Source organism: Homo sapiens, chromosome X (genome assembly GCF_000001405.40).
Source record: "Homo sapiens chromosome X, GRCh38.p14 Primary Assembly".
Taxonomy (NCBI): domain Eukaryota; kingdom Metazoa; phylum Chordata; class Mammalia; order Primates; family Hominidae; genus Homo; species Homo sapiens.
Window position 1 is genome coordinate 20,034,938 of NC_000023.11, and position 27,949 is coordinate 20,062,886.

Below are 27,949 nucleotides of genomic sequence, written 5' to 3' on the forward strand. Positions count from 1 at the left end.
TATGCCCTAGTTTCCTGCATGGCTCTGCTATAATGTCACCTTCTCAGAGAATCCTTTCCTGACCACCTTATCCAGCTACTCCCTTCCACCCCTCTGTCATCTGAACCGGTTTAATTTTTTTTCCATAGTGCTTATCGCCACCTGATCTTATCCATGCTGTTCACTGTCACATAAGCTCCAGGAGGGTAGGGACTTTTGCATCCTCAGCCCTTAGAAGAGGGCTGGATGTTAAGTGAGTGAATGAAAGAGGGCTGCACATGATGCTCTGTCAACACAGAGAAGGGGGTGAATTCAGCTTTGGCTGGCTATGGAGAGGATGATGGCTGAGCAGAGTCCTGAGCAGATGGGCGGCTCTTTGGATTAGGGCCTGTACTGTGCTCAACTGTGTACAAGGCTCCCCGCACCTTGCTGGAGGTTCCTTGAAATAGGGACTGTTCTCACTCATTTGGGGATTCTCTGAGGCACTGGGCATAGTGACCTGCATTCATTCATTCCACAAATATTTATAGCACCTACTATGTGCCTACTAGTGTTCTAGACAGAGTGGAAATTAAATTTTTTTTCTCTAAATTAAACTGCATAAAAAAGTCTGGAATTTTAACCAAGTCCCTTTGATCAGGGACAGCTTTTACAAAACTCAGATGATGTGTCCTTTAAAATATAAAATAGTTGGCCAGGCGTGGTTGCTCACACCTGTAATCTCAGCACTTTGGGAGGCTGAGGCAGGCATATCACAAGGTCAGGAGATTGAGACCATCCTGGCTAACATGGTGAAACCCCATCTCTACTAAAAACAAAAACAAAAACAAAAAAACCCCACAAAAAATTAGGTGGGTGTGGTGGCGCGCACCAGTAGTCCCAGCTATTTGGGAGGCTGAGGCAGGAGAATCGCTTGAACCTGGGAGGCAGAGGTTGCAGTGGGCCGAGATTGCACCGTTGCACTCCAGCCTGGGCGACAGAGCAAGACTCCGTCTCAAAAAAAATATATATGTGTGTGTGTGTGTGTGTGTGTGTGTGTGTGTATAAAATAGTTCTAGAAACACAATCTTCTTCAACATTTTCGACTTCACATTATTCTAAGTGAACTAATGCAGAAACAGAAAACCAGACACTGTATATTCTCACTTATTAATGGGAGCTAAACAATGAGTACACTTGCACGTGAAGAAGGGAACAACAGATATTGGGGCCTACTTGAGGGTGGAGCGTGGGAGGAGGGTGAGAATCAAAAAACTACCCACTGGGTACTATGCTTATTACCTGGGTGGCAAAATAATATGTACACCAAACCCCTGTGACAGGCAATTTATTTTATTTTTTATTTTTTGAGACGGAGTCTTGCACTGTTGCCTGGGCTGGAAGTGGCGCGATCTCAGCTCACTGCAACCTCCGCCTCCCGGGTTCAAGCGATTCTCCTGCCTCAGCCTCCCGAGTAGCTGGGATTACAGGTGCGTGCCACCACGCCTGGCTAATTTTTTGTATTTTTTGTAGAGACGGGGTTTCACTATGTTGGCCAGGCTGGTCTCAAACACCTGACCTTGTGATCCACCCACCTTGGCCTCTCAAAGTGCTGGGACTATAGGTGTGAGCCACCGCGCCTGGCCTGTGACACACAATTCATCTATAGAACAAACCTGCACATGTGCCCCTGAAACTAAAATAAAAGTTTTTTAAAAAAAGATTTTCGGCCAGGCGCGGTGGCTCATGCCTGTAATCCCAGCACTTTGGGAGGCCAAGGTGGGCGGATCACGAGGTCAGGAATTCGAGACCAGCCTGGCCAACATGGTGAAACCCCATCTCTACGAAACATACAAAAATTAGCCGGGCGTGGTGGCGCACCCCTGTAATCCCAGCTACTTGGGAGGCTGAGGCAGGAGAATCACTTGAACCCTGGAGGCAGAGGTTGCAGTGAGCTGAGATCGCACCACTGCACTCCAGCCTGGGTGACAGTGTGAGACTCCATCTCAAAAAAAAAAAAAAAAAAAAAAGGATTTTCAACTTCAAAGAAGCAGCACAGAGCCAGTGAGCCAGTTGTGACCTTGCTTCTGAGAAGCCAACTCCAGAAACCCCAAAACCAACGAAAGAACTCCATCCTTAATATTCTGTTCCTCTAGAACTACTCCTGGTACCAAAATACTTCTAGAGGGACAGAAGTAATAGGATAGATGTATATATAAAGGGGAGTTTATTAAGGAGTACTGACTCACAACCACAAGGTGAAGTCCCACAATAGGCCATCTGCAAGCTGAGGAGCAAGGAAGCCATTCCTTGTGATCTGAACTGCCTATCATGAACTGGGTGCTTTCTGACCTATCTAGCCATAAAGTGGGGTGTGCACAGCAGCATTCTATCATCAAGTGGAAATGGTATATACATGATCGGGCTCGAGCAGGTCCTGAGGGCACAAGCAAATTACATGAGGAAGTGGCTCAAATGCCCTGTCACCCTGCCTTCTCTCCCCCAGCCCGCACCGATGGCCTCATGGGTGGTGGTGGGCGGTTCCCTATGATCAGTTGACAGAGGAAGAGAAGACTAGGGCCTGATTTACAGATGGCTGTGGATGATATGCAGGCACCACCTGAAAGTGGACAGCTACGGCACTACAGCCCCTTTCTGGGACATTCCTGAAGGACAGTGGTGAAGGGAAATCTTCCCAGTGGGCACAACTCCGAGCACTGCACCTGGTTATGCGCTTTACTTGGAAGGAGAAATGGTCAGATATGTGATTATATACTGATTCATGGGCTGTAGCCAATGGTTTGGCTGGACGGTTAGGGACTTGGAAGAAGCATGATTGGAAAATTGGTGACAAAGAAATTTGGGGAAGAGATATGTGGATGGACCTCTCTGAGTGGTCAAAAACTGAGGACATTTGTATCCCATGTGAATGCTCACCAACGGGTGACCTCAGTAGAGGAGGATTTTAATAATCAAGTGGATAGGATGACTCGTTCTGTGGACACCACTCAGCCTCTTTCCCCAGCCACCTCTGTCATTGCACAATGGGTCCATGAACAAAGTGGCCACGGTGGCAGGGATAGAGGTTACACATGGGCTCAGCAACACAGATTTCCACTCACCAAGGCTGACCTAGCTACGGCCACTGCTGAGTGCCCAATCTGCCAGCAGCAGAGACCAACTCTGAGCCCTCGATATGCACCATTCCTCAAGGTGATCAGCCAACTACTTGGTGGCAGGTTGATTATACTGGACCTCTTCCATCATGAAAAGGGCAGCAGTTTGTACTCGCTGGAATAGATACTTACTCTGGATATAGGTTTGTCTATCCTGCACGCAATGCTTCTGCCAAGACTACTGTCTGTAGACCCATGGAATGCCTTATCCACCTTCATGGTATTCCACATAGCATTGCCTCTGAACAAGGCACTCACTTTACGGCTAAAGAAGTGCAGCAGTGGGCTCATGCTCATGGAATTCACTGGTCTTAACATATTCCCCATTATCTTGAAGCAGCTGGATTGATAGAACAGTGGAATGGCCTTTTGAAGTCACAATTACAATGCCAATTAGGTAACAATACTTTGCAAGGCTGGGGCAAAGTTCTTCACAAGGCTGTGTATGTTCTGAATCAACGTCCTATACATGGTACTGTTTCTCCCACAGCCAGGATTCACGGGTCCAGGAATCAAGGGGTGGAAATGGAAGTGGCACCACTCACCATCACCCCTAGTGACCCATTAGCAAAATTTTTGCTTCCTGTTCCCGCAACATTACGTTCTGCTGGCCTAGAGGTCTTAGTTCCAGAGGGAGGAATGCTGCCACCAGGAGATACAACAAAGATTGCCCCCTGGACACTTTAAGCTCCTCCTACCTCTAACTCAACAGGCTAAGAAGACAGTTAGTGTTGACTGGGGTGATTGACCCAGACTATCAAGATGAAATCAGTTTACTACTCCACAATGGAGGTAAGAAAGAGTATGCGTGGAATACAGGAGATCCCTTAGGGCATCTCTTAGTTTTACCATGCCCTGTGATTAAGGTCAATGGAAAACTACAAGAGCCCAATCCTGGCAGGACTACAAATGGCCCAGACCCTTCAGGAGTGAAACTTTGGGTCACTCCACCAGGTAAAAGACAACGACCTGCTGAGGTGTTTGCTGAAGGCAAAGAGAATACAGAATGGGTAGTAGAAGAAGGGAGTCATCAGTACCAGCTACGATCACAGGACCAGTTGCAGAAACGAGGACTGTAATTGCATGAGTATTTCTTCCTTATTTTGTTAAGAACATGTTTGTGCATGTATACCCTTACTCTGGATATAGGTTTGTCTATCCTGCATGCAATGCTTCTGCCAAGACTACCATCTGTGGACCCATGGAATGCCTTATCCACCTTCATGGTGGATGAAGAAACTATTGTCATTTCCTTTCTCTTTCCTTTATCATGTGACATAAGATTTATTGATGTCATATCAGCATTTAAGTGTTAACTTTATGTAATAGCATTTGGGTTGGGGATTGGTATGCTTCCAGTTGTAGGAAGGATAGGCGTAATTACGACCTTATTATTTGTCTTTATTTGAAGATTATGTATGATCTCAGGAGATGTGTATGGGTTCAAGTCGACAAGAGGTGGACTTGTGATGGTTAATATTGAGTTTCAACTGGATTGGATTGAAGGATGCAAAGTATTGTTCCTGGGTGTGTCTGTGAGGGTGTTGCCAAGAAGATTAACATTTGAGTCAGTGGACTGGAAGAGGCAGACCCACCCTCAATCTGGGTGGGTACCATCTAATCAGCTGCCAGCATGGCTAGGATAAAAGCAGGTGAAGGTGGCTCACACCTGTAATCCCAGCACTTTGGGAGGCCAAGGTGGGCGGATCACAAGGTCAGGAGATGGAGACCATCCTGGCCAATGTGGTGAAACCCCGTCTCTACTAAAATATAAAAAATTAGCTGGGCATGGTAGTGCATGCCTGTAATCCCAGCTACTCGGGAGGCTGAGGCAGGGGAATCGCTTGAACCTGGGAGGCAGAGGTTGCAGTGAGCCGAGATTGCGCCACTGCACTCCAGCCTGGTGACAGAGCAAGACTCCATCTCAAAAAAAAAAAAAAAAAAAAAAAGCAGGTGGAAGAGTGTGGAAGGACGACTAGACTGGCTTAGTCTTCTGGCCTACTTCTCCCATGCTGGGTGCTTCCTGCCCTCAAACACTGGACTCTAAGTTCTTCAGCTTTTGGACTCTTGGACCTTCGACCACAGACTAAAGGCTGCACTGTCGGCTTCCCTACTTTTGAGGTTTTGGGACTCGGACTGGCTTCCTTGCTCCTCAGCTTGCAGATGGTCTATTGTGGGACTTTACCTTGTGATCGTGTGAGTTAATACTCCTTAATAAACTCCCCTTTATATATACATCTATCCTATTAGTTCTGTCCCTCTGGAGAACCCTGACTAACACAGGCTGTTTCCCTTTCTTATGGTTTGTGTGTTCACTGGAGTAGCACTTTTAATTTCCTTCAATAACTTTTCCTTTGCATTCATGACTTGGCTAACTGGTGCCAGAGGCCTAGCCTTCAGCCCATGTCAGATTTGATGTGCCTTCCTCACTGAGCTCAATCATTTCTAGCTTTTGATTTAAAGGGAGAGATCTGTGGCACTTCCTTTTACTTGGACACTAAGAGGCCATTGTTGGGTTATCAATTGGCCTCATTTCAATATTACTCTGTCTCAGGGTGTAGACAGATCCAAGGAGAGGGAGATGGGGGAATGGCCTGTCAGTGGAGCTGTCAGAACACACACATTAAGTTTGTCATCTTATATGGGTGCAATTCATGGCACCCCAAAACAATTATAACAGTAACATCAAAGATCATTGATCACAGATCACCATAATGGATATAATAATAATAATGAAGTTTGGATATTTTGAGAATTGCCAAAATGTGACACAGAGACAAGAAGTGAGCACACACTATTGGAAAAATGGCATCGACAGACATGCTCAATGCAGGGTTGCCACAAACCTTCAATTTGTAAAACAAACAACAACAACAACAAAAAAAACCAGTATTTGCGAAGTGCAAAGTACAACAAAACTAGGTATACCTATAATTCTCATTTCTATAGAAGATACTACCATTTACAATAATAATGATGAAACTTGCAAGCTAGTATCCCTGCAGGGACCATGAGTCCAAATTCCAGCAAGACAGAGAGAGGGTGGAGCCTGTAAAAGTCTCAGCGTAAACTAGGCTTTTCTTTCTGTTAATGCAAATGTCCAAAATTAACACCAGAGTAATGATGCATGGGTGGAAGCTGAAAAAGGCTCAGATATAAGACAGAGGGAAACGGATCGTAGAGTCCACATAATAAATTTAAAGAGGTGGTAGGATAACAACACCATAACCAAAGATGGGCAATACTAGCACAGAAAGGTTGCAATGAACTAAAAATAAAGAAAGAAAGAAAAGTAGGCTTTTAATTCAGTGATGTGCTATGGAAAGATTTTCCTTATGGAGGACAAACACATCAATGGCAGGTATTAGTAGTGTATCAAAACCATAGTGATCTCTAAAAAAAATTATTAATAGTAGTGAAAAAGTCTCTATTAGAAAGCAACACATTGGAAATTTAAGAGCTGATGTCATCTTTAAATATTTTTGACAAATTCGCAAGTTTTCATTAAACTTGTGTTTATCCAACATTCTCTGAACTAAACTGATACACTGAATAAGGTTTATATGATTCTCTCCATATAAAAACTTTCCTATATTCCCAAATTAAATCATATTTCTCTTTCTTTCTCTGTCCTACTAAAGATGGTTTCCACTGTCCTACTGGACTGAGTTATTTACTGAGTCTTTTGTCAGTTACTGTCAGTAAAATATTTTAATGACTTAAGACCTTGGTGGTCACAAAGTTATTGTAAATTTTTCAGTTACATGGTTTCCTTGGTGAGTTTACCTAGTTCCTAACAAAAATTAGGCATGGTGGTGTTATGGTGCATGGGCATAGTGGTCCCAGCTACTTGGGAGTCTGAGGCGGGGGGATCACTTGAGCCCAGGAGTTGGAGGCTATAGCGTGCTGTGATTATGCCTGTGAACAGTCACTGTACTCCAGGCCTGGGCAACCCAACAAGACCCCATTTCTTAAAAACACACACACATATATATTTGCTTCATTAAAATACTGTTGATCATGGCTGACAAGTTATTATTGTCTCTCTATTAAAGAGAGAGACAACAAGGTGGGGGAGAATGTCAGGAGGAGCCCAAGCCCAATGCAATCACTTAAATCCAAATGCAACTGGAAAAAGAATACCAGAAAAGCAGAATGGAATTCATGGACCTAAAGAGAAAATGCTGAATGCATCATCTTGGTAAATAAAAGCCCTGTTACGCACTGGGGTCCCTTAGCAAAGGATCTTTCACCCAGAAGATACACAGAGAGTCAAGCCACGTAACTCCAAGGCCAGCATTTCTCCCACTTACCACTTCTGGCTGGCCACGCCTCACGGGGGAGCAGGAGCTGCAACACTGGATGGCACAAAGCCCTAGCAAACTGACTCATGACAGTCAGACTGTCTGGCAAAGGGGAGAGATGCTTACTTGGATATCACAGGAGAAGATGGTCTCTTAGGAATGCCTCCAGAAAACTCACATCTTCTCAGAGGGGACCCGAAGTTCACAACAGGAAGAGAAGTTGCTGTTCGTTGCCCCCGCTTCACCTTCTCCACCTGTAGGGGACACAGGATAGCCACAGTCCATGACTGGCACTACTTCCACAATTTATAAGACTAATACCCCAGATGGAACAATGCACAGCTTTCTTTCAGAGGGATCGATATGAAGCTATAACGCTTCACATGACAGGCATCTTTGCGGGGAGGCAGGATGAGGTCATCACATTTGCATTATCCAGTTAAAAAAAATCAGCCTCAAAATGCAAAGATTTCCTTCTCCTTGTTGTCTTTCAAAGAGTTAACAACTGAACCATATTACGGTCTTAGACATATAGGAACTGAAAAGAGTATAAAAATGTAAAATCACTACAAAAAAATTACAGGTGGGTGAAAATGTGGTTACAACATCCAAGACAGTGAGCTGTGGCCCCTGATGGTATACATGGTATAATGGGTCTGCAACCCCATCTAGTCCTGTAGGTCTTCCCATTACCTCCTTTGGCAGAAGGGAACAGACATCAGTGCCCAGCCTGCAGAAAGTGCTCCACAAGGGTTAGCTCCCTTCTCTCCCTATCACACTTTTCTGCAGCAAGTCCTCAATTGGCCCCCACACTCACATCCATCAATCCCTTTCAACACTAATCCACTGTATAGTAAAATCCGAGAGTCTAAAACATGCACTTCTAAGAGCCACAACAGATTTGAAAAGAAAATATGGCATTATAAAATGAAGTAGTTTTGAAATAAGTCCTGACATTATTTGATATTCCTCCCTTCGACAGGTGAGGCTTAATTCCTCTCCTCTTGAGTGTGGGTTGATCTTAGTGACTTACTTAAAGGACACTGCAGCTTCCCGATAGCTTGCTTGGAGGGAAGCCAGCTGTGGCATCATTTGGATACTCAAGCAGCTTTATGGACAGGCCCATGCAGTGAGGAACCGAGGCCTCCTGCCAACAGCCATGAATGAGCCGTCTCAGATGAGGCCCAGCCATGCTTTCAGATGATGCAGCCCTGGCCAACATCTTGACCACACCTCATGAAAGACCTTGTACCAGAACCACTAAGTCACTCTGAATTTCTGACCCAAAGAACCCATGAATTAATAGATATTTGTTATTTTAAGCTGCCAAGGTTTGAGGTGATTTGTTAAGTAGCAATCAATAACTAACAAAAGTAGTATGGCACTGTGTAATTTCTAAATAAATAGACACAATTGGGGGTGCCTTCTCAACATTTAATTTACTGATAGTGCCAGTATGCCATCAAAAATGTTTAAGCTTGGCATAGTAACATGTGCCTGTAGTCCCAGCTACTCAGGAGGCTGAGGCAGGAGGATTACTTGAGCCTAGGAATTCAAGGTCAGCCTGGGCAACATAAAAAGACTTCATCTCAAAAGAATATTTAATGATTACTTTTGTAGGTAAAAGTTGACGTAGATCCTCAGTTCCACTTAGATGCACGGGCAAGACTGACCCAGAATCAGATATCCGTAACGAGGAAGACAGAGGATATTTAGAACATTCCTTCTGACTCCTGTCCTCTGGAGGGCAGGCTGTGACAAGGACATCATTAAGAATTTGCTCCAAGGTACTAAGACTTAAGAGGGTGCAAAAAGTTAAATGATTTTCAAAGGTTGGGTAAAATTTTGAACTAAATCTACCCTTTCCTGCTTTGAGCAGTCCCAGGAGATTGATGGAAACAGACAGCCCAGGTCAAGCACAGAAGTAATCACACCATCAGACAGAACACAGTCTAGAGGAGTGAGTGGGTGGGTGGTTTTAAACCTACCAGAGAGGCCTCTCCTCCTGAAAGGGCTTCTTTCCCAACATCTCCTGCACCAGATGTAGACGTAGATGTAGCTTTCTTCTTCTCAATGTTTCGAGTGGGTGAAGACTTGTAAGAAGGGTTAAGAGGGCCAAGAGGAGCTAAACGAGGACAGACATGGAATACTAGAAAGTTACAGTATAACAGCCAGAAGGACAGAGAGTACAGATGGAAAAAGTAGAGCAGAGAGTTGGGAAGAACACATTTCTGTTAAAATATGACCTGGGCAATCAATATCATACTTTTCTATTGTACACAGGATGGATCTTACCCTAAAAAGGCTCCCATACTCAAGAGTCAAGTTTATTCAAGTTTATTTCAGGGGTTAAAAGTCTGTACTTTGGAGCCACAGAGACCTAGCACTGCCACCTAATAGCTGGATCACCTTGGGCAGGTTACTTAACCTCTCTAAACATCGATTTCCTTGTGCACAAAAGGGTTAACATAGCAGATCTGACTGCTGTGCTTGGAAAGGCCTGCTTATAAGGGTGGCCCTTGGCTGGCATCTGAGAACTTAGATTTCAGGAGGGTTCCCACCATTAACTGATGGGTGTCTAAACTGTTTATACAAACAGTATGGTTTATGCTAAGCATCTGCTTTTCTTGTGGGAGTGTGGAATCTGGGTATGTGCCTGGGAGGGGATGCCTACATATCTAGCCCCCAGTAAAAACCCTGGGCACTGAGTTTCTAGCCAACTTCCCAGCCTGGCAACATTTCATACATGTTGTCACAATGTGTTGGTAGAGGAATTAAGCTCGTCCCATGTGACTCCACTGGAAGAAGACTCTTGGAAATCCACACCTGGTTACTTCTGAACTTAGTCCCATGCACCTCCTCCATTTGCTAGTTTTTTCATGTTTCCTCCTGCTATAATAAATCATAGCCATGGGCCGGGCATGGTGGCTCACCTGAGCTTAGGAGGTTGAGACCAGCCTTGGCAACATGGTGAAACCACAGCCCTTCAAAAAATACAAAAATTAGCTTGGCATGGGGGCACACTCCTGTAGTCCCAACTACTCTGGAGGCTGAGGCAGGAGGATCGCTTGAGCCTGGAAAGTTGAGGCTGCAGTGAGTCAAGATCGCGCCACTACACTCCAACCTGGGTGACAGAGAAAGACCCCATCTCGAAAAAAAAAAAAAAAAAAAAAAAAAGCTAAGAAAGAAAAAATAAGTCACAGCCATGCGTGGAACTATGCTGATTCTTCCAAGTTCTCCTAGCCAATCATCAAACCTGGGGTGGTCTTGGGGAACTCTGGCACAACTAGTGTCAGAAATGGGAATTGCTGGAATGACCCTGATTTGCTGAAACGTGGTAAAATCACATTTTGGGAAAAGGACAAAAGGGTGGAGAACAAACTTGTGATGCCTGGGTGGCTATGAAGTTATCCATGGTATAAAACAGCAGCTGAGCTGTTTTGAGAGGTAAAAGTGACCTACGGAATTTAAAGATGACCAATACAGCTCCAAGAGAGTTGGCTTGATGGATCCCCCTGGCTGCTTTTGACTGTAGCATGCTAGCTAAAGTGAGGGAAAAAGCACAGCCCAAGTGATGCCTTTGGTTTTTGTTTTCTCCTCCAAGTGAGAGTTAGACACAACCTCCTTGCTTTTTGCCAGCAGTGGGTAGGCTGGAATTTAAACTCCAAATATTAGAACCAGAACAAGTCTCTGTAGTAGATTTTTCTGCTATGACTTTTGTCTAATGGAGCCTCTTGAAAAGGGGAGATATGAAAAGACAGGCAATTTCTAGGAAAAGACATGCTTCTGGAGTTTTAAAAATCGAGTAGGGACCACTACAAATATAGAATGCCCTTCATGGGGCCCAAAACTGTAAAAAGATTCTGGATGCTGCTAGACTGGGTCACATACAAGTGCCCACAAGACAGGGCTTGTTCTCTGATGGGACCATCCACAATCAAGCTGCTCATTGGCTCTATTATTTCTGATGCAGAGTCTGATTATATTCCCAACACATGATTCCTACAAAAGCTCCAAGTCACACCACAGGCAATGTGACTCTTTCAGCCATCCCTGACAGACTGAACTCCATTCCCTCTGGGGAAAGTGTCACTGCTGTTGATGCTTTGTGTTTAATTTTCTGGAGTAGCTGCAGTTTGTAATAGACTGAGATCCTGACTATATTTCCTCTACCTTTCTCTCACTACACACGTCAGTAAAGCAATTTGTTAAATGCAGCTGTCACTGGAAAGGGATTGATCTTTTCTAGGCTGCTCACTGGATAAAATGATCAAGATGAAAGGGCTCAGAGGTGATACAAACCTACTTTAAAATGTTTCGAAAACTTAGGATTTTAGCCTAATACCTGAACACAATATATCTTTCTGGTTAAGTTGGATAAAAATGGGTTTTAAGAAATGCTTTTGTCCTTTCTTTGAAAGGTCTGGGTGAGAGTAGGGGATGATTAAGAAAATGTAAAGTTTTGATTATTGAATAGGACATGGAGAAAAACAACATAATCCAACACCTGGGGTAAAAATGATACAGGGATACGGAAGGACATTTGTGTTCTGTTTTCCATAACTGCTCCTGGAAGCGCTCTCCTTCCTGAAGGAAAACTCCTTGTGCTGAAAGCACCTTGGACTCAGACCCATGGCTGAGCCTAGATGGCATGTGACAGCATGACTATGAGCCGGCAGGAGTGGGGCCAGTTCCTACATGTCCCCACAGAACAGCTCCAGATGCCATCTGCACTTGCCAGGAAGATGAAGTAGGGTCACTGGTAGAACTGTTTGGGACTGATGGCCTCAGGCAGCCGCCATAAAACCTGGGACTGAGCTGAATTACCTGCACTGGACTGAGCACCCTGAGGCACCAGTCACCACAGTGGGAGGCCACACTGGGAACTGACTGACCAATGATACCCTGCTAGTGTGCCCTAACATCTTCAACTCTTTTTTTCCAGGGAACCACATGAGCCCTTGGGGATCATAGTTCCTATGTGCGTGCCACGATTATCATGACACGGCGTCAGGCCTGGAAGGCATTCAGATCAGTTTCAACTTACTGGCCAGAGCTGTTCTGGGCCTGAGCTGATGCCACAGGCCAGGTAAAAAGATTCATACAGCAACTGATGGAGGAGGCCACCTGGCTGCCTCAAACAGACCTTTCTAAGGCCAGGTGCAGTGGCTTAAGCCTGTAATCCCAGCACTTTGGGAGGCCGAGGTGGGAGGATCGCTTGAGTCCCAGAGTTTGAGACCAACTTGGGCAACATAGGAAGACCCTATCTCTACAAAAAAAAAAAAAAAAAATTAGCTAAGTGTGGTAGCACACACCTATAGTCCTAGCTACTCAGGAGACTTAGGTGGGATGATCACTTAAGCCTAGGAGGTTGAGGCCACAGTGAGCCATGATCATGCCACTGCACTCCAGCGTGGCTAAGAGCAACAGAGCAAGACCTTGTCTCCAAAATAAATAAATAAATAAATAAATAAGAAAAAGAAAAAGAAAAGAAAGAGAGAAAAAAAAGACAGACCTTCTGGTTAATGAGATTTGCTTTAACTGCTAAGTCCCAGAACCCCTAAAGGACATAACTGAGATCAATACTGCAGGATGGTCTCACCCCCTGCTATGTGGGGCCCTACTGAAAAATTTTCTGTAAAGACACCTTGGCCAAGGGTCAAGTGGGTGAGCTGTGCAAAAATGAGTTAACATAGCAAGCCTGACTGCTGTCCCTACTAAGGCCTGCTTACAAGGTTAGCCTTTAGCCAGCACCTGGGAACGTACATTTTAGGACGATCCCCCTTTAACTGTTGAGTGGCTCACAGGGCATAAACAAACAACATGGTGTATGTTGAATACCTGCTTTCCTTCTGGGAACCTGGAATTTGGGTATGTGCTGGGCATGGAGTACATGTGACCAGCCCTCTGTAAAAACCGTTGGCACTGAGTCTCTAAAAAGCTTCCCTGGTTGGCAACATTTCATACATGTTGTCGTAACTCATTGCTGGGGTGAAAGGCGTCCTGAGTGACTCCACCAGAGAGGACTCTGCAAGCTTGTGCCTGGTCTTCCCAGGACTTTGTCCCATGTGTCTTTCTCCTTTGCTGACTTTGCTTGCATCCTTTCACTGGGGATCCTGTGAGTCTTCCTAGCAAATCACTGATCCTGGAGTTGCTCTTAGGGAACCCCAACATATTCCTTATTCTCAAAATGGGGTACTTCCTACTTGCTAGGGTTTTTTGATACATAATTCATATACCATAAAATTCACCCTTTAAAAAGTATACAGGACAGGCATGGTGGCTCATACCTGTAATCCTAGAACTTTGGGAGGCCAAAGTAGATGGGTCGCGCTTGAGCCCAAGAGTTTGAGACCAGCCTGAGCAACATAGTGAGACCTTGTCCCTCCAAAGAACCCAAAAAATTAGCCAGGCATGGTGGTGTGTGCCTGTAGTCCCAGCTACTTGGGAAGCTGAGGTGAGAGGAGGGCTTGGAGTTCGAGGCTGCAGTGAGCTATGATCACATCACTGCATTCTAGCCAGGGTAAAAGAGCAAGACCCTGTCTTTAAATACATATACATATATATACATATATGTATACGTATATGTATACGTATACATATACACATACAATTTGGAGGTTTTGCTACATTTGCAAGGTTGTGGAACCATAACCACAGTCTACTTCTAAAAACATTTTCAAGATTCCCCAAAGAAACTTCGTCCGTTAAGCAGTCACTCCCCTTCCTTCCCTCCTCCAGTCTCTGATAACCACCATCTATTGTCCATCTCCATGGATTTTCCTATTTCAGACATTTCACATAAATAGAAGCACACAATATGTGGCCTTTTGCAACTGGTTTCTTTCACTTAGCACATTTTCAAGGTTCATCCATCTTGTGGCATGTATCTGTATTTTTTTTTTTTTTTTTTTGAGATGGAGTCTCGCTGTGTCACCCAAGCTGGAGTACAGTGGTGCAATCTCGGCTCACTACAGTCTCCACCTCCTGGGCTCAAGTGATTCTCCTGTCTTAGCCTCCCGAGTAGCTGGGATTACAGGTGTGCACCACCACACCCAGCTAATTTTTGTATTTTTAGTAGAGATGGGGTTTCACTATGTTGGCCATGCTGGTCTCGAACTCCCTACCTCAAGTGAACTGCCCACCTTGGCCTCCCATAGTGCTGAGATTACAGGTGTGAGCCACCATGCCTGGCCTGTATTTCTTTTTATAGCTGAATAATATTCTACTTTATGGGTATATCATATTTTCTTTCCACTTTGTGGCTATTGTGAATAAGTTTTTGTGCAAACATATGTTTTTAATTTCCTTGGCTGTATACCTAGGAGTGGAATTGCTGGGTCGTATGGGAACTCTATGCTTAAGTTTTTGAGCAACGGTCAGACTGTGTTCTACAGTAGCTGCATCATTTTACATTCCCACCAGCAGTGTGTGAGGGAAGAGTGTCTCCACACCTCCACCAACACGTGGTTATTTCCCCTTTTAAAAAAATTCTAGTCATCCTAGTGGGTGTAAAGTGGCATCCCACTATGGTTTTGATTTGCATTTCCCTAATGATTAATGATGTTGAGCATCTTATGAACCTATTAGCTATCTGTACAACTTATTTGCAGAAACAGTATAACTGTTTGGAAGCAGCTACAACTAGGCAGAAGTTTTATCTCATTTATGTATCATCACAACTGAGTACACTATCTGGAGAACAGAGAGTAGACCTGACCTTAGGTGGACACAGTGCTGCTCATCTGGAAACAAAGAGAATGCCAGCCGCCACAAATCCTGACATGACGACTTGATCTGCTTTGATAAAGGCAGGGCTTTGATGGTCTGGTCCAGTGTTTCTCAGACTTCAGTGTGCAGGCTAGGTGGGGCCTTCCAACCAAGCTCCTAGATGCTGCTGCCATTGCTGGTCCATGGACCACCTTTTGAGTAGTGAGGCTAGAAACTTCTCAAAGTTTCTAGCTTTCATTCTGTGCTAATCATTGTGCTATCTCATTTGCATGCACTCTCTCATTTAATCTTCAAAATAATTTAAAATAGCTCCATCTTATAGATGAGAAAACTGAGGCTTAAAGAAGTTAATTAACTTACCCCCAATGGTGAGAGCTAGTGAGTGGTAGAGCTGGCTATGGGACACCCCAGACTGGTCTACAGGCTGTTTTGCCACACCGTCTCTTAAGAAAAGTCTACTAACCTCCAGAGTTCATCAAGTGGGGTTTTCTTCCCCTAAAGAACATGCTCTCACTCATAAGATAATTTACTCACCTCTGTGACACTCAAAAGAAACATAAAACAGCAAAACACTGGTATAAGACGTTATTAACCAATGAAGACTTTTCACAAAGCCAGCAAATAGGAAGCAAAATCCAAAAATTCAGGAGTAAATCCTAGGCTGACCAACACCTCTTCGGGCATTTTCCTTGGTGTTACCAGCTTAGCCTCTTTTACCTGAATCATTGGCCTGCCCAGAGAGCATGACTGAAGCTCTGCTTCTGGCTAAAGAAGACTGTGTGGGTGTCAACAGTCGCGAAACAAGAATGGCTTCCATTGGACTAAGGTGCATGTGATGAGCTGAGGGATGGAATCAAATGAAAATTTTAAAAAGCAAAATTAAAACAAAACAAAATAAAACATTTAAACAACACAATGCATGGTGCAAATTAACTTTTGGGTGGCAGAACATGGAAAATAAAAATATTTGAACAAAGGATGGATTTGGAATTTGTCATCGTAAAATAAAACAAATAATGTGTCCTTTAGAGTTTGGGAGAGTGCATTAATTGTCACTAGGTACCAAAATCCATTCAATATGCTATTGCAGTACAGTAACCTGTATCACTCAGAGAATTAGCCCACCTCCCAGATGTAATATGGACTCAGGAAATCATTTATGGCCAGGCATGGTGGCTCATGCTTGTTATCCCAGCACTTTGGGAGGCCAAGGCAGTCGGGTCACTTGAACTCAAGAATTTGAGACCACCCTGGGCAACGTGGCGAAACCTCGTCTCTACAAAAAATACAAAAAAATTAGCTGGGCATGGTGACATGCGCCTGTAGTCCCAGCTACTTGAGGCTGAAGTGAGAGGATGGCTTGAGCCCGGGAGGCAGAGTTTGCAGTGAGCCAAGACTGTATCACTGCACTCTAGCCTGTGCAACAGAGAGCCTGTCTCAAAAAAAAAACAAACAAAAAAAAAACAAAAAAAACAACAACAAAAAAACCTTTACTCCAAGTAGAAAACAAATTATGCCTATAAAACACTTGTTTTAGGTCCTGCGCTAAGAAGCATTTCATAACACACTGATTTTTAAATAAAATGTCATCTTGTAATAGTATAAAAATATATCTTTTCATACTTTTTACATGTCAATAAGGGTAAAAATTAAGTGAGAGGCACAAAAATACAAACAGCCAACTGATTATCAGCTTTAATGAAAGACAAATAGTAGTATTCATAATCTGGAAGTCAATGACCAAAATATTTAGATCAGTTTTGAATGTATTATATATGGCAATGAATTAACTTTTCCCTCACTCTGTATTCAGCTCTTCATCACTTCCAGGTTCCTGGTGCTTACCATGAACTGCATCACAGATCAGTAGCATTATGAACCTTATAGGGTCTCTGACACACATAATATGCCTCTGGGATAGAGGTACAAGGTCAATGTCAGTGGAAACAACCAGGAAGGCACACCAGCCTCTGCCAAGTCGCAACCAGCCTTTTGCTCTGCCCTTGGTGATAACTTGTGCTAAACACTCCACTGGCACCTGATACTTCTTCAATGTTGCTTTAGAATAAACATTTAGTGCATGGAGAGCTTCCGTCATTTCCTTAACCTGTATACTCTGAAAGGTATAAACAGACTTTCAGTGACTTATCTGAGCCTTTGTGAGAATGCAGACCCTGTTAAATCTACTCAGGTTCTGGAACTGGCACACGTCCCATACACATCATCTCCTAACTCAAAACAGAGCGCCACCCAACCTTTTCCTCTTTTAGAGGCCTCATTAGTTCTGTGCTTCTCTTTTCATCTACAAAATGGGCAGGCCTATAAACCACAGATGACTGCAGAACCCCATTTTTTCACATATCTAAGCCTCCCATATAACTATAACTTATCAATTCTGCTCTTTCTGGCTAATCAACTGTATTCCATCATTGACCAGGCAGTTACTTTAATGGTCACATCTGCCCACTGGTTAATTAATTCCTGGGCAGGATAACTCCTACATGCAATGTGGAAAACAGAACAGTCTCTTTCAGACTGGGAGACTGCATTAATTCCTACCTCTATTCAACAACGACCTGGCTCTAAAGAGCCGTGCCACGTTCCAAAGTCCCACTGACAAGGCCCTAGAGCTCCCACATTCAGACCACAAGACTAGGACAATGACGGTATCTGCAGAAGGCTCAAGAGGAGACTCTCACAAAGACAAACGTTAAGATGCTCACACCAGAAAAGAAACAAACTAGAGAGACCAAGTCTACATGTTCACTTGCCTCGGTCTGGGGAATAGGATATTGCCACGGTGGATGAAGACAGGCGTTTATTCATGGGAGGCTCCGTTGGCTTTGGCAAACTCATAGTTGATGTTGAAAGTTTGTCACATGCTGCAGAGAAATGCATTAAAGACATTGGTATTCATCACACTACTGTAGAACCAAGAAACACATATCCCGAAGTGTCCTTCCTGTCCTCATCCACGCACCTCCTAAATGCTGTGGCACAGCATGCTCTGCTTTCATCATCCTGGCATCTCATTATCCTACTCTAGAAATGACCAGGCTACAGCAGCCCTTGGTCTGCAGCAAAATCTCTGCAACTTCTTCACTGTGTTGTCATCTTCAATTTCAAATGTTCAACCTCACTCAACTGTTCAACTGAAGCCGTGTTAATCCCACCAACAAATCATTTTCTTTTGTCTAGGGATTTTTGAGCATGCTCACATCACACAAAAACAAAACCAACTTGGACCCAGAGACAAATCACCACTGGAAAACGCCCTATGGTCTGACTGTCACCGCTTGCTGAAACCGACTCTTTTATGAAGGTTATCTGTAGCTCAGGTTGGAGAGAGATGAAATCCGTCCTCTCAGAGTTGTATTTAAAGCAGAACGGCCTCTTTAGCAGTTGGTTTTCCTTTTCTTACTTAGTAAGAGACAGATCAAAATGGTCCTTTTGCAAATGCTTTAACTGTTTGAGGTTAGCATTTTAACAGGCGACCCTGAGTTTGGTGTTCTTACGTTCCAGTCATTATTTCAGACGGCAAACAAAGAGATGCTGACAGTGCCCTGCCAAGCTAAGTTAGAGCCTGAGGCCAAAAGAAAAATGTGTGCTCTTGGTTGTAAAAAAGCAAACTCATCAATAATATTTTCAAAATCTACTCCTCTGCTCATCGTGTTTTCCCATGAGAACTGCCATAAGAACTGCGATGTTCTATAATTTCTGCTGACCAAATGACAATCTTAAATAATTTTTTTTTTGAGACAGAGTCTTGCTCTGTCTCCCAGGCTAGAGTGCAGTGGCACGATCTCGGCTCACTGCAACCTCCGCCTCCCGGGTTCAAGTGATTCTCCTGCCTCAACCTCCTGAGTAGCTGGGACTACAGGTGCATGCCACCACGCCCAGCTAATTTTTGTATTTTTAGTAGAGACAGTGTTTCACCATGTTGGCCAGGATGGTCTCGATCTCTTGACCTCGTGATCTGCCTCAGCCTCCCAAAGTGCTGGGATTACAGGCGTGAGCCACTGCACCTGGCCCGGTAATTTTTAATTAACTAAAGCTGAAGTAAAAGTACAATAAATTTGATTTGTGTAGAAATAAAACTATTTAAAGTTGAAATTATATGAGTTTTAATACTCTTTTCAATTTTTCCATATTTTAAACTACTTTAATGTTTTGATAAAACTAAACATTAGAAATTACATAAAACCACGTATATAGGAGTACACATTTTCCCTTTTGCTTCAGGCTCTGATGTGCTCAGCATGGCACCAGTCTTTAGAAATTTGTTGTTTATTATGGATTGTTTTGCATTAATTTGGATTTTAAAAAATATCACATTAAGATATTATTTTATCTTTATTACTGAGATTTTTGGCACTCCCTTAAATTGTATGCTCTAGTCAAGTACTGCACTCATTTCACCCTGGCCCGGGCCCTGGGTGCTGATTCCCAGTGGGTGATTACTCCACCTCTCTGCACCTTTCTTTTTTCTTTTTTTTTCAAGACAGAGTCTTGCTCCGTTGCCCAGGCTGGAGGGCACTGGTACGATCTCACTGCAACCTCTGCCTCCCGGGTTCAAGCAATTCTCTTGCCTCAGCCTCCTGAGTAGCTGGGGCTCCAGGCACCCGCCACCACACTTGACTAATTTTTGTATTTTTAGTAGAGGCGGGGTTTTACCATGTTGGCCAGGCTGGTCTCGAACTACTGACATCAAGCAATCCGCCTGCCTCAGCCTCCCAAAGTGCTGGGATTACAGGCACAAGCCACCACGCCCAGCCCCCCTGCACCTTTCTTAGGGGGAAAGCCAGTGCCCACACTAGAGGTAACTCTGCTTGTGCAGCAAAACTGCTGTTACGAAGCACCCCCAGTAAGGATTATTCATTGTCAAAGGAATGTCAGAAACCAAGGATATTGATTCCTACTGCTAATATGACCTTCCGCATTGTTGGTAAATATTGCATCCCTTTTACAGCTTTTTTTTTTTTTCTTTGCCAGTTGAAGATGGATTGAATTTCTAAAGTCATTATTAAATGGAAACAAAGTTTGGCTAGTTCTGTTCTTGATCTAGACCAGAGGAGTTTCCCAGGCCTGTATACAAAACAGACAGCCTATTAAATAAAATCAAGCACAAAGCCAAATTATCTAATTATTTGGATTACCAGTGTTAGCACTGATAAAATTCCTACCACTCCCTCTCAAACACCTCTCCAGGAATCTATCACTTTAACACTAAGCCCAAGTTCTCCATTCAGAACTCCGGGTGATTACAGGTTTTGGTAACCAGAAGTAATCAGAAATGCCCTGCTTCTTAATGTCTACAACAGATGATGAAGAGATTGTTAAAGATCTGAGTGTGCAAAAATCCAACACTGACAAGATTTTCAAGGCAGACGTTAGTGAGTTGAGGATGAAATGTCTCCGGGGCACTAAGATGTAAGGCATGCACCGCTCTATAATGACAGAGGAACAAAGAAATATGGGCATGTCATTCACATTGCTAGGAAAAAAAAATTGTGACAGGCCAGACTAAGAAACCAATTGTAAAAGTGCTTGACGCAGACATGGTGATGGGGGAGGATGATCAGAACAGTTATCACAAAATGCTATGGCACAGTGATGCTCGGATATACCGTTGGTGGACTCGGCAGCTGCGGCAGTGGTCCCTGCATCCGGAGGGAGGGTGCTGGCTGCTAAACCTAGAGGAGGGGGTGGGGTATTTTCTGATTCACCTACACAGCAAAAAATCAGAGCAAAGAGAGGTAAAAGAAAAAAGTCCCAATTTCTTGTTGCTTCTTAGTTTCTAATTAGGAAATTAGAAAAAGTAACTGAAATGGGTTGTTGACTTTTCAAAAAAGAAAAAATAAAGTATATTTACTGCCCAAAGGTGAAAAGCACAATACAGCAAAGTCAAGAACTGTCCTGTAAACACAAATCCATTTGCTCTCAGATAGAGCTAGTACACACCTCCTGCATAATAGAATGCTAAGATCGCTGAAATGTAGTGAGACACTGAAAAGAAGGAAAAGCCATCCAGAGACTAGTAACAATCCATATATTAAATTACACATTTGAAAATTTAAAGATGAGTTTGAACTGGTAATGAAATAAGTCACCTTGAAACAAAGTCGAAAAAGCAACAAAAATTTAAAATGCAGCAGGAAATAGTCCAGCCCTTTTTGGAGGATAACTGCCACTGTGCTTTTCCTGATCGCATCTGGACCAGTGACAGAGCCTCCTGCCGTTTCCCTCCCCTGAAGTCAGAACAACCCTGGGCTTGCCAGCTGGGCCCAGCTCACTGGGCTCTGCGTTCAAAGTCTTCTCTTTTGCTCTCCCTCAAAACCCAGTTTTTGTGTCAACTGCTGTTTGCTATCAAGAAGAATGCACAGATCCCCTTCATAACAAATGCATGCGTAGGAATCTTGGCAGTTTTAAACATCACATCTGAAAGTGGTGCCTCTGAAAAGCTGTGCAAAGCATCCCCCAGATCCTGGAGACACCCAGTGGTGCCCATAATCCCCTGCCTGCTCCATTATTTCCCACCCAGGACCTGAAATACAGGGGCAACCCTACACTCACCATCATGTCCTCCGGGTCCAATGGCCAGTGGTGCTCCCCACGAATACTTCTTTTTCAGCTCCAGCTGCTGTGTGCGCTCCAGGGACCGGCGCATCATCGCCTCCAGCCGTTCCTACACAGTTCGTGTAAGGCAAGTGTTAACAAGATTAACTACCCAGCCCCACCACACTACCTGCTGCCTCAGTGCACAGTGTGAGTCACCAAATGGGGCTTTCTGTGCTCAGCATCCAAAACCCAGGCATACGTGCTCTCTCTGCCACACCAGCGTGTTCTGAGTAGGTGGAGAGTAAACAATGCGGCTAGGCTAGCACTGGCTCTCAACCTAAACACCGTGTGTCCTGTCCCCTCCCCTCCCTGGGGAGAAGCTGCCCTAGGAATAATGCCCAATAAGCATTAACTCCTTGAGGCCTATCTCAAGGCATTTTGCCCTAACCAGGAGAGCTGGAATTCTGCTCCAGAACCAAGAGCATCCTTTCTAGTTAAAAGCATAAAACATTTTGCTTTGAGAAAATTTTAATGCAAATATAATTTGAGTTTTTGGGGTGATACATGACACTGAGATCTATTTTGCAAAGCTGCATTTTCATCTTAGAACTTCTTAAAGGGGAACCAACTGTTTTACATAGTGTGACGCTTTTCTGCTATATAGTAATCTGGGATAATATTGCATATTTCAAAATTTTCAAGAGGCAAGAGTAAAGAACCTTCTGGCCACAAAAAAAAAAGCATCCATGCGTTCCCAGAGTTACTTAGGTGGAGGAGGCAGGGAGGCAGAACCCAGTAATTTTTAACCAGAAGAGAAAAACAACCATTAGGCTTCGGCTTCTCTCGTAACAGTATTTATCAAAAACACTCTCCTGTATTACCCAAATTGTTACTTTCATAAAGTTGTCCTTGCTGCTGCAGTGAAGGTGCTCTAATTCTGCACTCCCCACCACCTCCGTGACACTGCAAATACCAACTCCTCTCCCTATCTCCACTGGAGAAGGCCTGAGCTAGCAGTTATAATGACACCCTTTTGCCCTCATAAAACCCAACCCCGAGGTGCTCCAGGAACTGGGCTAATCATAGCCCATTCTAAAACAAAAAGATACAATTGTCATGGCTTAAAAAAATACACACAGAAGCAAAATTAATTTAGGACATCATCAACTGAGTAACCATGACTTAAAGATCAGGAAAGGCTCCTTTATGTCACACTTACTAGAAACATATAAAGGTCACTTAATAGGTATCTGGATTTATCCCTTCTGTCTATACCAGAGGGATGAGATGAGGATCTGGCTTCTCCACATCTCAGCCTCCTCTACATAATTTTTCTCTGAATAGCACTTTGCTAAGAGACTGCCTCTCCAGGGACCTGTAAGCAGAAAGGGGGATTTTTACCTCCTGTAACTCTTAGATTTGTATTAGCTATTAACTGTGCTCTTGTATTTGGCCTGAGACTCTACAATCGTGAGTATGCATGCCTTGGCAGAGTCCAGTCCTCACGACCCTGGCCCATTAAACGATGATGGCCAACTCTGGCAGTCTGCCTGATAAAAGCTGGGGCTTGGAAGGAAGAGAACTTCTCTGCCATGTGATGCCTGAAGTACAGCCACTCGAGATTGGGGCTGAATAGTATTTCATTATACGGTTTAACGTAAAGTATTTAACCAATGACCTAACTGAAGTGTTGAAACCTTTCATCCTAGAGTGAATTAAGTATTGGGTGGGTTACGGTAGATTTCCTACATGCCAGAAGGACCTCACAAAGTGGTCCCTTCTCTACTAGGGGACCAATGAAAAGAAAGAATAGTGAGCTTCACTGAACCAGCCTGACCACTGATCAGCTATCTGGGGGGCACCCTTGTAAGGGAATGAGTGCTCACTGAAAGCCAGACCTGCCCCTGGACTTTTCAATGGCCTCTAGAAAAACTACCCCTGCCATCCATCCCCAGTCCACTGAGCTGCTCCAAATCCCACCACTGGAGATTCATTCCTTCAGACCTTGAGGAGGCCGATGAAAACACAGTTGTCCCTGAGAGAAAGACACACTCACTTTGTATCACCCACTTTTGGAGAGATGATGAGAAATAGATGATAAGCAAGTTCTAAGAGAAGAGGATTTATGGAACCCCAAAAAGTCAGAATGGGGTGATTCATACATATAGAAAACAAAACTTGTCCAGTGCACAAGTCTTATTTAAGGTTAGTCCTGAATAGGTCAGTATTGCCTCGTGTTTGTGTGTACCTTTTTGTTCCTTCATATGACGAAACAGAAAGGATCTCAGATTTGGAATCAGGAGGTAAGGATTCAAATCCCACCTCTGCCTGACACTTTTTATCCCTGTGACCTTGAGCTAACATTGCAGTCCTGGGCTTCAGTTTCCTTGCCTATAAAATGGGGATGAGCTTACCTACATCACCAGATCACTCTAAGTCTATTTGATAATGACTAGTATGCAGTAAGTCCTTAACCAAAGCTAAGTGAATCTGAATTTAAAGAGGAAGATTCTTATCAGGACCATTTAGAGCAATAGTTCTCAAATCTGAGAGATCAGGTAGGAGAATCCCCTGGAGGAATTATTAAAATCCTGGGGTTTATCCCCAGAGTTTCTGAGTCAATAGGTCTGGGGTGGAGCCTGCTGAGAATCTGCATTTCTAACAAGTTCCCAGGTGCTGCTGGTCATGGGACCCCCAAGCAAGAGCCACTGGTTAGAGGAAAGGCTGAGCAACAGAAAGTGAGCATGAGAAAGTTCCATCACATTAGAAAAACAGTATTAATAAATATCAGAACTGCATACTGCAATTCCTGCCAAGTTCTGGTTCTCCTGAGTATCATCTGATGATCAACAGAGGATGGGGAAAGGGCAAGGCAAATCCTCGTCCCTAGAATCTCCTCTATTAGGTAGGGCTTAGTGGAAGGGTGGAAGGAAGGAAGGAAGGAAGGAAGGAAGGAAGGAAGGGTGGAAGGAAGGAAGGAAGGAAGGAAGGAAGGAAAGATAGGAAGGAAGAAAGACAGGAAGGAAGAAAGGATAGATAGGAAGGAAGGAAGGAAAGAAGGAAGGAAAAAAAGAAGGAAGGAAAGAGAGGAAGGAAGGAAAGATAGAAAGGAAGGAAAGGGAGATAAGGAAGGAAAGAAGGAAGGAGCGAGCCTCACACTTGATGCCTTGAGGTCTGGCTTTAGATCTGTCTGGATGAACTTGGAGAATCACGACCAAGGTGACCCCGCTGAACTGGCTGAACAGTATTAAAGGTTGCCAGCAGGGCACATTCCAGACACTGTTACTCAGACAGCAGTCTCTGGCAGGAATGGGTGGTAGGGGGTGGCTGTGCCTTTTCAACTGCCATTATATGTGTTCTTTTTTTTTTTTTTGAGACAGAGTCTTGCTTTGTCACCTAGGCTGGAGTGCAGTGGTGCGATCTCTGCTCACTGCAACCTCCACCTCCTAGGTTCAAGTGATTCTCTCACCTCAGCCTCCTAAGTAACTGGGATTACAGGTGAGCACCACCAAGTCTGTCTAATTTTTGTATTTTTAGTAGAGATGGGTTTTCACCATGTTGGCCAGGCTGGTCTTGAACTCCTGACCTCAGGTGATCCACCTGCCTTGGCTCCCCAAAGTGCTGGGATTACAGGCATAAGCCACCATGCCCGGCCCATTACATGTGTTCTGGGGATGACACTGCAGGGACACACCCCCAGCGGTCCTCAGCAGGGATGTGTGCAGAAAAGAAAGAAAAGAAAAGAAAAGAAAAGAGAGAGAGAGAGAGAGAAAGAAAGAAAGAAAGAAAGAAAGAAAGAAAGAAAGAAAGAAAGAAAGAAAGAAAGAGAAAGAGGCCTTTCTCTTTTCTGTTTAGCATAAGGAACATGAAGTTGGCTTTTCCAAATCCAATTTTCCAGGGCCACTGGTCAGGAAGCTATACTGCCCTGAGAATGGGCTGGCATACTGTGTTGTCAGCCCTAACACAGGTGACAGGAACTTGTTCTGGTAGCTTGGTTCCTGGGAGCTGTGTGGCACGTGAAGGTTCTAAGAACTTAAGGAGTAGGTGGCCTCCAGCAAGAGAATGAGTTTAAGGTCAGGGTGTCAAGTGGACAGTAGAACCACCCCACCCCTCCCTGGGACCCCTCCCTGGGACAGGCCTGACTACTCTTAAGACCTCTGCCAACTCTTAAGACCTCTGAGAGACAGGCCATTGGTGGTACCCACTTCTGCCCTGGCACAGACATGAGGGGTTATCAAGAGTGACATCATGGCAACCATAGGGGTACAGAGCCAGGGCAGGGCTGGGGTGGGGTCAACAGGCCTCTCATGAGCTCCTAAGTATCAGACCCAGAGAGGCAGGATTTGGTGGGCAACAAACACTTTCCAACAGGCTAGAGAAGTAAAATGGCCTGCATAGGATGAATGATCTTCCTGCAGAGGCTTTTCTCTGGCTGACAGAGACAGAACATGACCAAAAAAAAAAAAAAAAAAAAAAAGACTTCAATCTGACACTGAGAAGAGAATGGAGAACATCCACAGCCAGGCACTGAGCAGGCTGCAGCCCTCCCAGAGCTCCCCTTGAATCATAGGGGCCAGTGCAGAGGGTTTCCTTTGAAGAGGGGCTTCCGTAATGCAGGCTGATCCCTTCTCCCTAAATGTCACCCACGAGAATGCCAAAAAGGCCTCTGTGCCAGCAGAGCACCGACCCAATGTAGCTAACAAGCCAGCCTGTGTGTGGCAAGTCCCTAAGCTACACCTGGGTCCCCTGGGACCCTGAGGGCAGGAGCAGGTGGCAGAAGGAGGCTGCTGTTTCCTTGGGTTGCTACACAACCACAGGAGGCCCAGCCCTCAGCCCTGCCCTGCTGTGCCCAGGGAGAAGAGGGAACCAAGCTCAGCTTGGGCTGACAAGGGTCGGTCGGGCAGCCTCCTGCTTCCCTCCACCACATTAGGGGTGCAAGGAAGCACACAAATAGAAAATTACCCAGAAGGGAAACCACAAAAGATTCAGCTGCATCAGGACCAACCATATGGCATAAAACTCCCTCACCTCCAAGAAGGGGGAGCTGTTCTACTTAATTTAACATGCCTCCAGCACTAATGTTCTGTAGAGAAAAATTATAAACAGAAATTGCCTCAAAAGCAGCCCCCAGTGACAATGCATATGTCAGAGCATGGGAAGTGTCTTATGTGACTTCACAGTACCCCTTCCTGGAAGCAGCAGTGACAAGCTTTCAAAATGGAGAGATCATGGAAGAAGAGGACAAGCTCTAAGTCATCAAGGAATGGAGGATGGGAAGAAAATGGGTGAGTCCAGCAACTCTTAACACAGAAGTTAGGAAAGGAGAAATCTGTCCCAAGTTACCAAAACAGCCTATTATACTGTGGCTTTTTCCCATCTACTGACTCTGTTTCATAAGCTTTTGTGGGTAGCACCCTCTTGACCTTGCTTTAGCCAAGCTCAGCTGAAGTAACTAAACAGAATGTAACATTCCTGAACGATTACTCTGTGCTAGGTGCTTTGCTGGGCACTTTTACAAAAGTCACCTCTTTTAATTCCTGTAACTACCTCTGTTTTGGGCTAAGGAGACAGAGTTAGAGGGGCATGTGACTTGCCCCTGGCCACCAGCTGCTCAGTGGTAGAGCTGGCATTGGAGCTGACATTTGAACTGGGAGCAGATGAAGGCACAGCAATCAGACTGCAGCCAATAACGGTGAACCATAGCTAAGACACTGGCTTAGACCTCATTTTCTAAGAGGAGGAAAGAAATCACCATGAAAGGGTGCTTCTTGGGCAAAGATGGGTCTGACTATGTGTGTGTTTTCGTATGTGTTCTTTAAAAAAAAAAGAAGGAAGGGGTAAATATATATAGTGATAAGCAACTGTTCAGAGATTTTAAAAAATACTGAATTTGTACAAACATCTTCATATCCTATAGGGTTGGAGATTACCAAACCTCTATATTGTTCATACTAAAAGATGAATCATTATACCTTATGAATAAAAAATTATCATCAACTGACATAAGGTTTTTATTACCTCCTAAAAATATAATCGTGAAGAAAATCTATAATCCAAATATGCTTTCTAAATATATTTTCAAAATTTAGTAATAAAGAACTCTGTAGGGGTAATTATGTGCCATTTCTTTTTTAAAAGGTAACTGGAAAGAGCAATTAAAGCGAAGAACTACATTAAACTTTAAATATATTAGCATCTTGGTATTTGAGGGTAGACTAATTT

At 44.1% G+C, this 27,949-nt stretch overlaps 1 protein-coding gene across 23 annotated transcripts in view, besides 1 other annotated feature; it reads right to left on the bottom strand.

The window, feature by feature from the left end:
* Positions 1-27,949, bottom strand: part of MAP7D2 (MAP7 domain containing 2) — a 110,195-nt gene that overhangs the window by 28,225 nt on the left and 54,021 nt on the right. For 4 of the 23 annotated variants that reach the window (XM_006724481.3, XM_011545484.2, XM_011545486.4 and 1 more), the window contains exons 4-9: positions 21,743-21,854; positions 20,797-20,895; positions 17,941-18,051; positions 15,887-16,009; positions 9,427-9,587; positions 7,565-7,692 (exon numbers count right to left, since the gene is read on the bottom strand). In XM_006724481.3, coding sequence (XP_006724544.1) covers positions 7,565-7,692; positions 9,427-9,587; positions 15,887-16,009; positions 17,941-18,051; positions 20,797-20,895; positions 21,743-21,854 — 734 coding nt within the window. The remainder of the gene's footprint in view (positions 1-7,564; positions 7,693-9,426; positions 9,588-15,886; positions 16,010-17,940; positions 18,052-20,796; positions 20,896-21,742; positions 21,855-27,949) is intronic. The other 19 variants (XM_005274480.4, NM_001168467.2, XM_017029398.3 and 16 more) reach the window with 9 other exon arrangements.
* Positions 26,776-26,825: an enhancer, noted in NCBI's record as "active region_29477". NCBI's record gives its function as "activates an Ori minimal core promoter by ATAC-STARR-seq in GM12878 lymphoblastoid cells {active_cell/tissue: GM12878}" and the evidence as "EXISTENCE:reporter gene assay evidence [ECO:0000049][PMID:35858748]".